The sequence below is a fragment of the Homo sapiens genome, chromosome 8, assembly GCF_000001405.40.
Source record: "Homo sapiens chromosome 8, GRCh38.p14 Primary Assembly".
NCBI lineage: Eukaryota > Metazoa > Chordata > Mammalia > Primates > Hominidae > Homo > Homo sapiens.
Genome location: NC_000008.11, coordinates 11,106,945 through 11,123,863, shown reverse-complemented (window position 1 = coordinate 11,123,863; position 16,919 = coordinate 11,106,945). Strand labels below are relative to the sequence as shown.

General features: G+C 39.3%; 1 protein-coding gene across 6 annotated transcripts in view; it reads left to right on the top strand.

Annotated features, from left to right (window-relative positions):
- The window catches only part of XKR6 (XK related 6), a 305,789-nt gene that overhangs the window by 77,970 nt on the left and 210,900 nt on the right, over window positions 1-16,919 (top strand). For 2 of the 6 annotated variants that reach the window (NR_138153.2, XR_948899.4), the window contains 2 exons: window positions 9,772-9,843; window positions 11,972-12,133. The exons of 2 other annotated variants lie outside the window; for them this stretch is intronic. The gene's annotated coding sequence lies outside the window, so the exon portion shown is untranslated. Of the gene's footprint in view, window positions 1-9,771; window positions 9,993-11,971; window positions 12,134-16,919 lie in introns of those variants that run through there. 2 more of the 6 variants (NR_138154.2, NR_138152.2) reach the window with 1 other exon arrangement.

Genomic DNA, 16,919 nt, shown 5'->3' with positions numbered 1-16,919 from the left:
CAGGTGGGGACCACGGGACACTGGAACTGCCTTGGTGTGTTTATTTCCAAATAGTGTCTGGCATTACACTGAGATGAGGAGACTTTTTTGTTTTTCATTTTTTGTTTTTTTTTCCCGGGGTAGGGGTGCATATTGGATTTCTTCAGGAGATTCAGCCTCTTGAAAAATATGAAATATAGACAAGTATATATACATAAAGATATATTTGAGTATTTTAAACTTTATATAGCCAAGTATCTTAAACTCTGCACACTTGAATTTTTAATCCTCGTGTATATCCATTATGATTATTTCTATTAGTTCCAGTTTGAGGTTGGTGATGATATTGTCATAGAAGCTTTGTCAGGCTTCACATTGTAGCAGCTGGTCTTGAAGGTGGGGCATATCCTTGTTCAATGTGACTACTTTAGTTGCCTGTCCAATATGAAGTAGAAAAGCAGATTTCTGGATTACAGTATTTGTCAACATAGAATTTGCCGATTTAAAAAAAAACAAAAAATCTTTATGTTTATAATGACAAGGTCCATAACCAGATTGTTGTTGGCAACTTAAAGCAAGTTGTCAAGAGAAATATTGTAAATGGTTTTGTTTGTGTGTGGGGCATGGGCTTTTTTTTTTTTTTTTCCTTCTACACAGAGTCACTCTGCCACCCAGGCTGGAGTGCAGTGGCACAATCTCGGCTCACTGCGACCTCCACCTCCCAGGTTCAAGCCATTCTCCTGCCTCAGCCTCCCGAGTAGCTGGCATTGCAGGTGTGTGCCACCACACCTGGCTATTTTTTGTATTTTTAGTAGAGACGAGGTTTCACCATGTTGGCCGGGCTGGTCTGGAACTCCTGATTTCAGGTGATCCACCCACCTCGGCCTCCCAAAGTGCTGGGATTACAGGCGTGAGCCACTGCACCCGGCAGAGGCATGGGCTTTTTAATCACTTAAATTTTAACTTATTGTGTTAGTGAGCTTGTTTATTCCATTGCTACATGAATTGTGTGTTACTTTTTCCTGTCTAGTTTTCCCCTGGAAAACAGAATCAACCATACCAAATATTAGTGAGGGTCCAAGTCAGATTAAATAGTATGAGTCAATCTGCCCTCAAAATAAATATGAACTAAAATGAGATGCTAACAGATTGACAGTGATTACCAATGGTAAACAGACCATGAGGAGAGGTTTAAGCTGTCACTAACTTTTTGAAGAACAATTACATTATTTACCAATTATGGTGGCCTGATACCTAAAGAATTGGCCTGATATCTAAAGAATATCTTATTTTCTAAATAAGAGTGCCAATGGAAAAATGTCAAAATCTTATACCTGCCACTGCTTACGCACCCATTGGCTAGTAGTCAGCAGTGACAGTAATTGTGAGACTCCTGTCATTTTGGGCAGGTGGAGGGGCCTGTGAGGGCCAAAATCTAGCCATGCTGACATGATTATGCCTCCTGTCATCCTGCTGAATGGTTCAGCTATATAACTAAAGTATTCTATCTCTGGTTAGTGTTGATTTGGGGCAAATATGAGATCTGTAAAGTAAAATGGACAAATAATAGTTTTGTAGCACATTCAGCTTTGCCTCCTTCCTAGAGACTGATCTTCAGTGACGTTTTACCAGGCAGCCTGACTGGTTTCATGTCTTCTGTCTGTAATAGTGGGTGTCCCATAAAAAGGCAAGACCGTATTTTCAAAGGAGCTGGGCTTGGAGACTTAAGATCACTGAAAGAGACTGTGGCAACAGCAGTTCATCTGGATTGGCCTTGTGTCTGGGATGGAAGAGATGAAAAACAATTGATTATCACTCACTTTATGGCACACTGTGTGCTATTGAATATTGAATATCCCATTGTGTGTGATGTTCCCCTTCCTGTATCCAAGTGTTCTTATTGTTCAATTCCCACCTATGAGTGAGAACATGTGGTATATGGTTTTTTGTCCTGGCGATAGTTTGCTGAGAATGATGGTTTCCAGCTTCATCCACGTCCCTACAAAGGACATGAACTCATCATTTTTTATGGCTGCATAGTATTCCATTGTGTATATGTGCCACATTTTCTTAATCCAGTCTATCATTGTTGGACATTTGGGTTGGTTCCAAGTCTTTGCTATAGTGAATAGTGCCGCAATAAACATATGTGTGCATGTGTCTTTATAGCAGCATGATTTATAATCCTTTGGGTATATACCCAGTAATGGGATGGCTGGGTCAAATGGTGTTTCCCGTTCTAGATCCCTGAGGAATCGCCACACTGACTTCCACAATGGTTGAACTAGTTTACAGTCCCACCAACAGTGTAAAAGTGTTCCTGTTTCTCCACATCCTCTCCAGCACCTGTTGTTTCCTGACTTTTTAATGATCGCCATTCTAACAGGTGTGAGATGGTATCTCATTGTGGTTTTAATTTGCATTTCTCTGATGGCCAGTGATGATGAGCATTTTTTCATGTGTTTTTTGGCTGCATAAATGTCTTTTGAGAAGTGTCTGTTCATATCCTTCGCTCACTTTTTGATGGGGTTGTTTGTTTTTTTCTTGTAAATTTGTTTGAGTTCGTTGTAGATTCTGGATATTAGCCGTTTGTCAGATGAGGAGGTTGCAAAAATTTTCTCCCATTCTGTAGGTTGCCTGTTCACTCTGATGGTAGTTTCTTTTGCTGTGCAAAAGCTCTTTAGTTTAAACAGATCCCATTTGTCAATTTTGGCTTTTGTTGCCATTGCTTTTGGTGTTTTAGACATGAAGTCCTCACCCATGCCTATGTCCTGAGTGGTATTGCCTAGGTTTTCTTCTAGGGTTTTTATGGTTTTAGGTCTAACATGTAAGGCTTTAATCCATCTTGAATTAATTTTTGTCTAAGGTGTAAGGAAGGGATCCAGTTTCAGCTTTCTCCATATGGCTAGCCAGTTTTCCCAGCACCATTTATTAAATAGGGAATCCTTTCCCCATTGCTTGTTTTTCTCAGGTTTGTCAAAGATCAGATAGTTGTAGATATGCGGCATTATTTCTGAGGGCTCTGATCTGTTCCATTGGTCTATATCTCTGTTTTGGTACCAGTACCATGCTGTTTTGGTGACTGTAGCCTCGTAGTATAGTTTGAAGTCAGGTAGTGTGATACCTCCAGCTTTGTTCTTTTTGCTTAGGATTGACTTGGCGATGCGGGCTCTTTTTTGGTTCCATATGAGCTTTAAAGTAGTTTTTTCCAATTCTGTGAAGAAAGTCATTGGTAGCTTGATGGGGATGGCATTGAATCTATAAATTACCTTGGGCAGTATGGCCATTTTCACGATATTGATTCTTCCTACCCATGAGCATGGAATGTTCTTCCATTTGTTTGTATCCTCTTTTATTTCGTTGAGCAGTGGTTTGTAGTTCTCCTTGAAGAGGTCCTTCACATCCCTTGTAAGTTGGATTCCTAGACATTTTATTCTCTGTGAAGCAATTGTGAATGGGAGTTTACTCATGATTTGGCTCTCTGTTTGTCTGTTATTGGTGTATAAGAATGCTTGTGATTTTTGCGCATTGATTTTGTATCCTGAGACTTCGCTGAGTTTGCTTATCAGCTTAAGGAGATTTTGGGCTGAGGCGATGGGGTTTTCTAAATATACAATCATGTCATCTGCAAACAGGGACAATTTGACTTCCTCTTTTCTTACTTGAATGCCCTTTATTTCCTTCTGCTGCCTGATTGCCCTGGCCAGAACTTCCAACACTATGTTGAATAGGAGTGGTGAGAGAGCGCCTCCCTGTCTTCTGCCAGTTTTCAAAGGGAATGCTTTCAGTTTTTGTCCATTCAGTATGTTATTGGCTGTGGGTTTGTCATAGATAGCTCTTATTATTTTGAGATATGTCCCATCAATACCTAATTTATTGAGAGTTTTTAGCATGAAGCGTTGTTGAATTTTGTCAAAGGCCTTTTCTGCATCTATTGAGATAATCATGTGGTTTTTGTCTTTGGTTCTGTTTATATGCTGGATTACGTTTATTGATTTTCGTATGTTGAACCAGCCTTGCATCCAGGGATGAAGCCCACTTGATCATGGTGGATAAGCTTTTTGATGTGCTGCTGGATTCGGTTTGCCAGTATTTTATTGAGGATTTTTGCATCAATGTTCATCAAGGATATTGGTCTAAAATTCTCAGTATGTTGTATTCAGGAAACCCATCTCACGTGCAGAGACACACATAGGCTCAAAATAAAGGGATGGAGGAAGATCTACCAAGTAAATAGAAAACAAAAAAAAGGCAGGGTTTGCAATCCTAGTCTCGGATAAAACAGACTTTAAACCAACAAAGATCAAAAGAGACAAGGCCATTACATAATGGTAAAGGGATCAATTCAACAAGAAGAGCTAACTGTCCTAAATATATGTGCACCCAATGCAGGAGCACCCAGATTCATAAAGCAAGTCCTTAGTGACCTACAAAGAGACTTAGACTCCCACACAATAATAATGGGAGACTTTACCACCCCACTGTCAACATTAGACAGATCAACGAGACAGAAAGTTAACAAGGCTATCCAGGAATTGAACTCAACTCTGCACCAAGCGGACCTAATAGACATCTACAGAACTCTCCACCCCAAATCAACAGAATATACATTCTTTTCAGCACGACACCACACCTATTCCAAAATTGACCACATAGTTGGAAGTAAAGCACTCCTCAGCAAATGTAAAAGAACAGAAATTATAACAAACTGTCTCTCAGACCACAGTGCAAACAAACTAGAACTCAGGATTAAGAAACTCACTCAAAACTGCTCAACTACATGGAAACTGAACAACCTGCTCCTGAATGACTACTGGGTACATCATGAAATGAAGGCAGAAATAAAGATGTTCTTTGAAACCAACGAGAACAAAGACACAACATACCAGAATCTCTCAGAGACATTCAAAGCAGTGTATAGAGTGAAAGTTATAGCACTAAATGCCCACAAGAGAAAGCAGGAAAGATCTAAAATTGACACCCTAACATCACAATTAAAAGATCTAGAGAAGCAAGAGCAAACACATTCAAAAGCTAACAGAAGGCAAGAAATAACTAAGATCAGGGCAGAACTGAAGGAAATAGAGACACAAAAAACCCTTCAAAAAATCAGTGAATCCAGGAGCTGGTTTTTTGAAAAGATCAGCCAAATTGATAGACCACTAGCAAGACTAATAAAGAAGAAAAGAGAGAAGAATCAAATAGATGCAATAAAAAATGATAAAGGGGATATCACCACCGATCCCACAGAAATACAAACTACCATCAGAGAATACTATAAACACCTCTACACAAATAAACTAGAAAGTCTAGAAGAAATGGATAAATGCCTTGACACATACACTCTCCCAGGACGAAACCAGGAAGAAGTTGAATCTCTGAATAGACCAATAACAGGCTCTGAAATTGAGGCAATAGTTAATAGCTTACCAACTAAAAAAAGTCCAGGACCAGAGGGTTTCACAGATGAATTCTACCAGAGGTACAAGGAGGAGCTGGTACCATTCCTTCTGAAACTATTCCAATCAATAGAAAAAGAGGGAATCCTCCCTAACTCATTTTATGAGGCCAGCATCATCCAGATACCAAAGCCTGGCAGAGATACAACAAAAGAAAAGAAAGGTAACATTTTTTTTAAACCAGCTTCCCCTTGACAGACAGTTGGGCTTGTTTTGCAGATTTTTTCTTTCATTTTTTTGTATATTAAGAGTAGTACTGTATTGTGGTTATAAACAATGTCCTCGTACAAATATTTTTGCTTACGTGTGAGAAGAAATAAGAATCTGGTCCCAGAAGTTAAATTTCTGGGTCAAAAGCATGCAGATTTTAACATTTTGGTAAATAACGTCATTATTCTTCAAAAAGTTGGTGCTGGTGTATACCTCTCCTAACGGTCTGTTTGGATGCCTGGTCCCCCACACTCTCGGTATTCCCTGTCACTCTGTTAGCGTCTCATTTGGGTTTATATTGCTTTTGAATGGGTTTGAAGTTATTTTTCTGTATTTATTGGTCTTGTTTTCCTTGATGAATTGTCTGTAATTGTTGCACAGTTTTCATGGGGTTTTCTTTTTCTTGGGAATTTATAAGAACTGTATTCATATTAATATTTACTAGAATTTTTTCTCAGTTTATGTTGTTTGTTTATAAGTGGTTTTTTGGCCACTTTTTAATCAGTTGTGTTCTTTTTTGGCTCCTAGGGTTTATGTCATAATTAAAGTTCTTCATGTGCCTTAAAATGTACTTTTAAAAATTTCAGCCATATTTTCTTTGAACATTTTTATGGTTTCACATTTTTATGGTTTCACATTTTCAGATTAAATGTGACATTTCTGGATGTTATTTTGGCTTAAGGAATGAAGATAGAGATGCTGCCTTAAGTTTCCCAAATGGCCAGCCGCTGTCTCCACGCCGTCATTCAGACATTCTGTTTTCTTCCTGTGGAATCCTTCAGTTTGGGATTTTCTGACTGATAAATGTGTTGTGTTTAGGGTGCAAGCTGCATATGTGAAGTTGCAGGACTCCCACAGAAATTAAGAATGCTGTTGGTTTTTGCTGGGTTAGGAGACAAGAGGCGTATGTGTCAGACAGGAAATCTTAGAATCTGTCAGGTTCTGGGAGCAGAAAGAAAACTTCTAAGAGGGGACTGCAGTGTTCAGGTTGCAGTTTCACCCCTAGTGTATCATGGGGGTTAACCCTTTCTGCAAAAAAGATTCAGTCTAAACTAAGGAAACAGTTTTTCATGAAAATATCTTTGACGTTGAATGTTCTTAAATAAATAGCATTTGTTTTTATAGAAGTTTGACTCTATAGTTAGTCTAAATTTGTAACTAACTCACTAGAATTCATCAATCCTATTAAATGGGAGACAGTGTAATATTACTGAAGTGGTGGATGGAGTTTTATGAGTAGTAAAAGTTAAGACTAAGTATATAGTTAGTAAGCTGAAATATACCTCTGAGGATTCAGCCTCCTTATTTTATCATCAAAGGCCTAAAGTGGAAGTAGTGAAAGTTTTGGAGTTAGGACAGTGTCGCAGTTGTTGTCGACTGTAACCTGCATTACAAAACATCAAGTGGTTGAAGGAAAAAGGGGGAAATGGCAGCTGTGACTGTGGCATGGATGAGGTTGTGAGATGTAAGGGGGACATCTGAGTTCGGGAGGCGAATGAAACCTCTCAGCTGCTTTTAGTTCTTGCCAACGAATGGTAGCAAATAGGCCTGGTGTAGTGGCTCCTGCCTGTAATCCCAGCACTTTGGGAGGCTGAGACAGGTGGATCACCTGTGGTCAGGAGTGCGAGACCAGCCTGGCCAACATGGAGAAACCCCGTCTCTACTAAAAATGCAAAAATTAGCCAGGTGTGGCGATGGGCCCCTGTAATCCCAGGTACTCAGGAGGCTAAGGCAGGAGAATCGCTTGAACCCAGGAGGTGGAGGTTGCAGTGAGCCAAGATTGTGTCACTGCATTCCAGCCTGCATAACAGAGCAAGACTCTTGTCTCAAAAAAAGAGAGAAAAGTCAAGTAAGAGTTGAGCTGTGGGTAGCCGACAGGTTCTCTGTGTTGACACAGGACAAATTTGGGATACATAGATGAGCATGTTTAAGACTTAGAGTGGAAAAAGGGTATCTATGAATTAGTTACGTTTTCTCTGAAGCTTCCTATGAACTGAAAAGAACAGTGCCCTCCGACATACATGGGAAAGGAGGACGGGTTTCACTGCTTGCACATAAGACCAGCATACAGTTTTCCATGTTTAAAATTTGAATGCAGCAAAATCTAAAACTTAAGAATCATCTTACGAACATCCGTGGGAAATGTACTTTCAAAGCTTATTGATTTGCTTAAAACCCAGATATGACTCCCAATAGTTCTTGTCTTCTTTATTCTAAGTATTTAAGCATAAACTGCAGTATATTACTTTAAAGTATTTTCTGAGACCTATGAACTTCAGAGTCAAAACATTTCACTTGGTAGTATTTGTCAAGATATTAAATTTAGTTAGACTCCATGAAAAATTATAGAAGATAAGCCAACTCAGAAATGTATTTATTCTTCTGGTTTTAACCCATTTATGCTGGAGGTTGCAGATTTTTTTGTGAAAAATCAGGCCTTGGTGATGATCTTGAGCAGTAGGACACAAATAACTCCCACAAGCTTAGCGTTGCAGTAATGGGACCCTAGGCAGAAATGGGTTAAGATGAACATGGAGCTTAATTTGAATCAGGTGCATATATTTTGACATTTTTTTGGTAACGTATCATATTCCCACACAATTAAAAAATGTCATTGGTATATGTAGAACCAGCAGAGAAATGCAAAACATTGAACGATAATGTTAGTGTAGACTATATGTGATAATTTATGAATAATATTTAATGGGCATAGATGAATGGTGTAAAACATTCTGTAACATATTTGTCTTCATTACAGTATAGCTAGGGCCAATTCTTTAAATATAACTTTAGCAGCAGGATTTCTGAATTTTAAATTATGGCTTCAGTTGAATGAATTACTCTTAAAATAAATGGTTTTTGAAGGTACTTGGCAGATTTAACCTTTCAAAATAGCCTGAGGCATTATGTTTGGGACCAAAACCACCAGCATTCTCCAAATGAGAAAGAATTAATTTCCAGGATTAAAATAGGATTTTGAAAACAGAAGCTTCATACTGAAGAGACAGACACATGATGAGTTGAGGTCATTGACAGCAACAGCAGAGAGATTCAGGGATTCAGGATTTTGTTTCAAATCCTGCAGCCTCATTCTGTTGTCACTTAATACATACTGCCCTCCTACCTCTTGTGGAATCTCCTTAGCATCATAGCCCAGACTTGAGACCTCAAATTAGGAAATAGATGGCTGACGACTCCAGACTCACTGATGAGGTTTAGAACTCGTTCTGTCATACCAAGCACTTAATTCCGGTGCTTAGAAACATTCGGTATTTGTTGAATGAGTGAGTGCCTTATTTTGGTTAGAGAAAAAGGTTAGTTTTCATGTTGTACGAGTACTGCTATTGGAACCAAGAGTTGTGAATACACAAAAATATATTTCTGAGGGCCAGGCTATTGTTACGGTTTAGCATTACACTGACCTTTCTTGCCCTGGCACATACACACACACACACACACACACACACACACACACACACACACACACATATGTGATCTAAGTAGCTGACTTCATTAAAATATTGTTAAATTTAACTCTATTAAAAATAAATGTTTGGCCAGGTGCGGTGGCTCACGCCTGTCATCCCAGCACTTTGGGAGGCCAAGGCGGGTGGATCATCTGAGGTCAGGAGTTCAAGACCAGCCCAGCCAACATGGTGAAACCCTGTGTCTACTAAAAATACAAGAATTAGCAGGCATGGTGGTGGGCACCTGTAATCTCAGCTACTTGGGAGGCTGAGGCAGGAGAATCGCTTGAACCCAGGAGGCAGAGGCTGCAATGAGCTGAGATCCATGCCACTGCACTCTAGCCTGGGTGACAGAGTGAGACTCTGTCTCAAATAAATAAGTAAATAAATCAGTGTTTTATAATCTCAGGAAATGAATCAAATATGACTTTAGCTTTGTAGAACCAACTTGGATTTCAGTTGTTACGATACCCAGCGGCTAACAGGATAAGACGGGCACCACTCCATTCAAAATAGGATTGTGATTCTCTGTGTAGAAATGTGTACATTTTCATTTTTCTGTGATAAAAATGGCTTCTAATATTTTATATTTTAGTGTCATGTTAGAGATTTCATTCCATGCTCATTTGTTCATTCACATGTATTTTTATTTTTAGCTCTAAGCGAAAGACATGAGGCCTCAGCCTGAAATGAGGTTGTTTTGAGGTCATCTGATTTCTGACTAGAAGGTGAGCGATCGCCTCGTCCTGAAACCACTTCAGCCCGCATGGTAAATGGCAAAGCCAGCGAGAGGGAGGCCTTCATGTGTTTCCGTGTCTGTGCTGCCCCAGTTCCTTCCTCTTCAAGATTAAAAACATTTTAAAGTTGTAAACCAAAGGTATTAAACAACATACTGACATATCGTACCTAAATTAGCTCAAATGTTTTACAAAAGGGCTTACATCATAAATGCTAATTAAACCTTTTAGAGCTGTTTTAACATGGCTTTTTAAAGTGAGCTCTTGTGAGCTACCTAATCAGCAACAAAATATTTATTATATGAAAAAACCTGAGCCATTAGGAGTTGGAGATTGAAATTTTTTTTTAAACAATAGGGTTTTGCTCTTAAACAAAAGGGAATCCAGACTTACAGGTTTTTAGACTAGAAAGTAAGGATTCTTGCCACAACTTTTTTTTCTATGTTAAAGAATTGTAATGTTTTATGTATGTGTGTGTTTGTTTATTTTACTTTTTAAAATATGATGTGCCTTTGGAGAATGTTAGTTGTATCAGTTAGCTTTAAGCTATTACATGTTCAAATATATTTTTTGGTTGAAGATAATACAGTGGCTTCTTTTTACATTTTAGTAAAACTTTTTTGGGTGGAGGGGAGTGTTATTTAATTATTAAATGTATTCTGATGGACCATGTCCTTTTAAATATGTTGAGGTAGTGGAGCTTATAAGGCAGTTACTATGTTTAACTCTCCTAAAAATAGAATTCCAAAAAGGTTTTTGCTTGGAGTTCAGATTCACACTAAGCTATTATTTCAAATAAGTGGTTGTTTACGCCACTTCATTTCTTTCACTACATGTAACAGCATTAATAACAAATATAGTATCACAGATTTACTTATGTTTAGCCTAAATTGTGCAGTCATTTAATTGATGAGATGGTGAGAAAATTAAATTTCATCTCATTCTGGAGGGTGCTACAGAAGGCAAATTGTAAGGAACTGAAAACATCATCATTTTTTAAAAGTCATCTTTATTTTCATGTTTCTCTTCTGGAGACTCAGTTGTCATGTAATTCTGTGTTACTTAATTTCCCTACAAACAGTATTTTCTTACTGCTTAATCTCAGATGTTGAGAGTGATTTAACATTTATAAAATGTGTTCTTTTTCTTCATGTATGTGGCTTTCTGTAATGATAGGGAGAATTATTCACATACACTAAGAAAAAATTACTCACAAGCTGGCCATGGAAATCTGGGCCCCATTAGGTTGACTGGGAGAGCAGTGATTTTATGTGTGTGGGCTCTTAATAATTTCTGCTTCCCCAGGCCAGCTTCGCCTTGTTCTTAAAGAAAAACCAGTGTGCACTCAGTGGTTCTTTGTTTGACCATATCTCCTGATGTGTTGTTTTATGCTTTTGGAAATATGAACTCTGAACTCTTGATTTTCTGTGGAATAATTAAATAAGCTGGTCTAAGTAGCATGGTCTTTAAGCCTATAGTAAATGTTTTATTCATACAGCTCACTTTTGTATATTAATATTTTTAATGAGAAATAATACTGATGTTTTTACTTTTGGAAATTTTGATTTCTTTTGCCAAAAAATTGTTTTTTTTTCTTTTTCAAAAAAGGCCTACCTCTTTGTGGTTAGAACAACTTTGAAGAGCATCTTTCTTAGTTCATGTGCTAAAAGTTAATGTAATAGAAGCACAAAGACTGTAACCGCTATTACTCGACTAAAAAAATAGTTTCTAAAAGTATGAGATGCATAAGAACAAAATCTATAATTTTAGTTATGCATCTGAATGTCTGTCACCATGATGACAACTTTTAAAAGAAAATAAAGACAGAACTAATGCCACTTTAAAGGCTCAAATTATGAATGTGGAGATATTTTGACCCAGTAAATACTCTATAATTAAGTAGGTGGTGTGGATGAGTATTGTGTAATATTTATTTTGCTTTATGAAAACTGCCTTGTTTTTAAATAAAACTTTAATGTTAGACTTAAGAGCTTATAATGGTAAGACGATAAAAAGTATTAACTTAAAATGTTTTGAAAATTATAAAAGTAATTATTGACCATTTCTAAGAAAGTCTTTCCTTTGACATTGTTTAATTTGTTTCCTTTTTGTTTTTTAGGTTTGCAATTTTTTTTGGTGATGGCATGTTCAGAATCTTGGATCCCTAAGTTCAATATATTGGACATATTTAGGAACTCTGGAAATTATGTTGTTTTCACATATCTAGTAACTTACTAGATGAATCAGTAGATTTCATTAAAGTATATCTAATAACAGATAATTATGATGTACTTCTGGGTTGACATGCATGTCTCTCATTATCAGCTATCAGTATTAGTGTCATGCTTTGGAGACAGTTATCTTTTGAAGGTTTTGGGGTTCTTATGAACCTCATTTTTCCCAGGAAGTTTCTGTAATTCCTCCTATGCCTATTCTTGTCTTTTCTGTCTGCTTGCAGTGTAAGTTATTTAGATCAGAGGCAATTATTTTTCAGGAAGAAAGAAATCATCAAGTGACACTCCTAAAGGCAGTAAAGACAAAATTTCAGTCTGGAACCGGTCTCAGAATGGCCTGTATTAGAATATGCAAAGTCCACCCAAATTATATCCAAATATACTTGTGGCACAGTGCTACCAGTTTTTAAAATGAGACGTTACTATGTAGGGCAGAAGTGCCAATGAGGAGAGAGAAGGAGCTGTTCAGTTTGCCCTCCAGCCGCCACCTCCTTCTATTATTGGCTGAATGAATTAGTGCAAAATTAGTAGCCAAAAGGGTAGACAGTGTGAATGGAAGGGAGGAGAAGGACAGAAACTTTAATCTCCAGGAAAGCTTATTTATCCTTTAAAAAATGGAAAGTTGGGCAGGCGCAGTGGCTCACGCCTGTAATGCCAGCACTTTGGGAGGCCGAGGCGGGCAGATCACGAGGTCAGGAGATCGAGACCATCCTGGCTAACACAGTGAAACCCTGTCTCTACTAAAAAAAAAAAAAAAAAAAAAAAAAAATAGAAAAAGCCAGGCGTGGTGGCAGGCGCCTGTAGTCCCAGCTACTCGGGAGGCTGTGGCAGGAGAATGGTGTGAACCTGGGAGGCGGAGCTTGCAGTGAGCCGAGATCGCACCACTGCACTCCAGCCTGGGCAACAGAGCAAGACTCCGCCTCAAAAAAAAAAAAGGAAAGTTGAGTGTATTCCATGTACCTGAACATGCTATTTAAAACTGTGGGCTACTTTCAGAATGTAGACTAATGTGTTCTCGACCATTGGAATGAATGAGAATTTGTATTTGATAGGAAAGTCAGAAAGTCCTCGAGCGGCTATCTTTTTTTCTTACCTGTTCCTGGGATTAAGAAACTTGAGAAGCATTCTGGGGCAGATACATATGATGGTCAAGTAATTGACCAAAACAGGGAAAGACTGACTTTTAAGACGACATTCAGAGCAACTTGGAAATGGATCAAGGGGAAAGAATGAAGAGAATGCACGGAACTATAGAGACTGAGTAGAAGCTCAGTGGAATGTTCGTGTATTCGTTTATTGAAAGTTTGATGGTTGGTGGATTATCCAGTATTTCCGAAACTAGTGTATAGCAGAAGTTTTCATAACATTTCTATTAGATGGCTTTTGGAAGCTGAATAGTCTACCCCAATACCCCTGGCTCCTTTTTGCTTTGCTTGTTTTAAGAGAAATTGGCTGGTAATGTATTTAATATAAAGCACAGTGAAAACATAAAGTAGGTTTTTTAAGGCCAGGCGCAGTGGCTCACGCCTGTAATCCCAGCACTTTGGGAGGCCAAGGTGGGCTGAGCACTTGAGGTCAGGAGTTCAAGACCAGCCTGGCCAACATGGTAAAACCCCATCTCTACTAAAAATACAAAAATGAGCCGGATGTGGTGGCGGGCACCTGTAATCCCAGCTACTCAGGAGGCTAAGGCAGGAGAATTGCTTGAACCCGGGAGGTGGAGGCTGCAGTAAGCCGAGATTGTGTCACTGCACTCCAGCCTGGGCGACAGAGTAAGACTCCATGTCAAAGACAAACAAACAAAAACAAAAAAACAACATTAAGTAGGTTTTTAAAAGTCACGTTAAATTTTAATCTGAACCTCTATTGGCTGTTTAGTCATTTTCTTATTATGACAGGCTTTTAGAAACTTTTATTCTGTGATGCTTTCGTCAGTAGAGGTGTTTCCTCTTAGCCAGTTCTAGCCACAATATTGACTGGGCCCAGGCATTTGCTACACTCAGAAGGAATTAACCAGGCAGGAGAAAACTTGGTCCCTACTGGAATGAATAGTTTAAAGGCCATCTTAGATGCTGAAAACTCTGAGCACAAATGAAAGCGACCCAAGAAGGAAAAACTTCAGAGCCTAAGAATAAAAAATGGTGGTAGGGTTGGGGGATAAACTCGCCCAGAGCTGACTTAAAGTGCTGTCAGGGAAGGAAGTGCCTTTCCTGGGGAGGATGAGATGGTCCATGCCGGGTCTGGAGCTGTGGGCGTTCTGATGTTGGATAGCCCACCCTAGCAGGCTGCAGTGTCTTAAGGGTAGTGGCATGAGATCTTTGGAAGTATCGATACATTTCCTAACAGTGAGTTTGAGTTTGTTCTGGTATGTTCTGAATGGATATGTGGCTCAAAGATTAACTTAGCTAAAAATAAGTATATTAGATATTAGGGAAATATTGTTAATAAAGGTCTTCTGTCCCTGTTGGATAACTTTAGAAAATAATGTAGACAACTGAACGTAGTGGAGATGATGGCATGAATACAGTCAGGGTTTGATGCTTGCTTCCTAGAAACTTCCTAGAAATAGAACACATCTAGACATAGGGAAATAAGGTTCCAAAGAAAACCTTACACTTTTATTCAGATTTTATGTTGGCCTCAGTTGTACTAGAAAAGCGTTTCAGTATGTGTCTCTTGGGGAATCTGCACCTTCTTGGTCACTGCACTTCATAGCCCGGCATATCACTGAGAATTCAGAAATCTGACTCTTTACCCAGGGACGAATACATCGTTATGAGTTCAGGTGCACTAAATACATAGGAACACCCAGAGAAAATGAGCCCGAAACAATGGTTCTTTTTATTTTGGAAGTTTCAGACAAACTCTTTGGAAAATTGAAGAAATCTATGGATCCTTTTCCTGGGAAGACTGTACAGACATACGTATTCGTGTGGTTTCTGTGGGTGTAGGGACTGGCCCTGGTCATGTGTCAGGAAGCCCCAATCCAGAAGATCGTCTTCATTTTACCTTGGCCGGTGATCTGACTCTGTTCTCGCGCCCATCTGTGGTTGATTCTCTGTCGCCTTGGAATGGAGCATCAGATCTTGAAGGTCGCTCATTGCTTTTCCACGCATAGAACTGAGCCACATGGCAAGAGCTTCCTAATGAAATGGACGGAAACTCTCTGCAAAGGGCTGCCCCAGAAGCACGGGTGATAGAAATAGAGTCCAAGGCACTAAGGCCGCTGAGCCACAGTCCTCCTAGGCAATGCCTCCTGCTGGCTTAGTGGGTTTATTTCATAAGTTGAGTACTAATGTCCTGTTTTTTAAATGAACATATTTCTTCTAACATTTCTAACAATTATGAAGATTTTCTCCCTAAGTGTGACTTTTTCTTATGTCTTGGGGTATCAGATTTACAGCGTAACATGTGTACTTCAAATTGTAGTAGTGACTGGAAATTTAGGATTCTGTTGTTTCATAACACTTAAATCTGCAGCAGATTTTCAGGAAAATGGTCAAGATTCACAGATAATTCCTTCCTTATTCCTTACAGATTTTACAATTGTATGGTTATTTCTGAATTTGGTTAATTTGTTTATAAGTGTAGTGGACATTTAACAGAACAGATGCACCCGATTATCTGATTAGAAATGTGTTTCAACACACGGGTCCCTTTGCGTGTTTCCAATCTCTGTTTTCGGATCTGGGATTCTCCACCTGTTACATCGTTCACTGGAACTTTCCTACAAAATACAGCCTCGCTGAGAGGCGCATCGTGGAAAAATGAAGCAGCCTGAAGAAACTCTAATATTGGGACCGAGTGGAGAGATGGAAGAGCATCATCAGAGTGGTGCCGCCGCACATGCGGGAGGCGTCCCAGGCAGCATTGCTCTTTGTACATGAGACAGGATACCACTGTCTTTTATGCATTAGACTGGTAACCAGATAAAATAACCTTGTAAAACAGATCTTTTATGTAAGAAAAATACAACTCTCACCTCGCAAACATTCCTGTCTGTTGCGGATGAACCTAGCAGCAGGAGAGGAGCCAGGGTCAGTCCACTTGGCCTGAAAGTTAACGTCATATATTCAGATGTCAAGGGGTTTCTGTGCATGCTTTTGAAGTATTGTGTTTGGGCTTTTACAACATGTGCCTCACTGTTTCGCATCTACAGAGAGAGTGCCGCTGAGAGAGGAGCCTGAGTGGATCCGTGCCCAGATCTGCATTCTCTGTCCTCACCACTTCTCCCTGCTGGTTGATATAAATGTGGGGATAACGTCGAGCACAAAGGAGTCAAAAATTGATCAGGGCTGGGTGTGGTGGCTCACGCCTAAAATCCTAGCACTCTGGGAGGCCGAGGCAGGAGGACTGCCCAAGGCCAGGAGTTAACATAGCAGGACCCTGTCTCTACAAAAAATAAAAAAAATCAGCTGGGCATGGTGGTGTGCACTTGTAGTCTCAGCTGTTTGAGAGGCTGAGGCAGGAGGATCTCTTGAGCCCAGGAGTTTGAGCATGCAGTGAGCTGTGATCGTGCCACTGCACTTCATCCCAGGCGATGGAGTGAGACCCCATCTCTTATTTAAAAAAAAAAAAAAAAATTGGAATCCTGTTTATCCGTGTTGCTTTTCTTTGCCAAGTAATCATAGTACAGTTCCTTTCTAGCCCTTTGAAATGTTGCTCATTTTTAGCCCTTTTGTCATAAGTCAAGATAGAAGCATCACAGTTTGTTCCATCTTCTTTCCTCTCATTGTCATGTTTTGCTCTGGGGATGGGAGGTTTTCAGTTGCCTTAAAGAGTTCACTTGCTGCCCTTGATTTCTGTCTCCCTTCCTGTAGCTTCTTGTGGGGA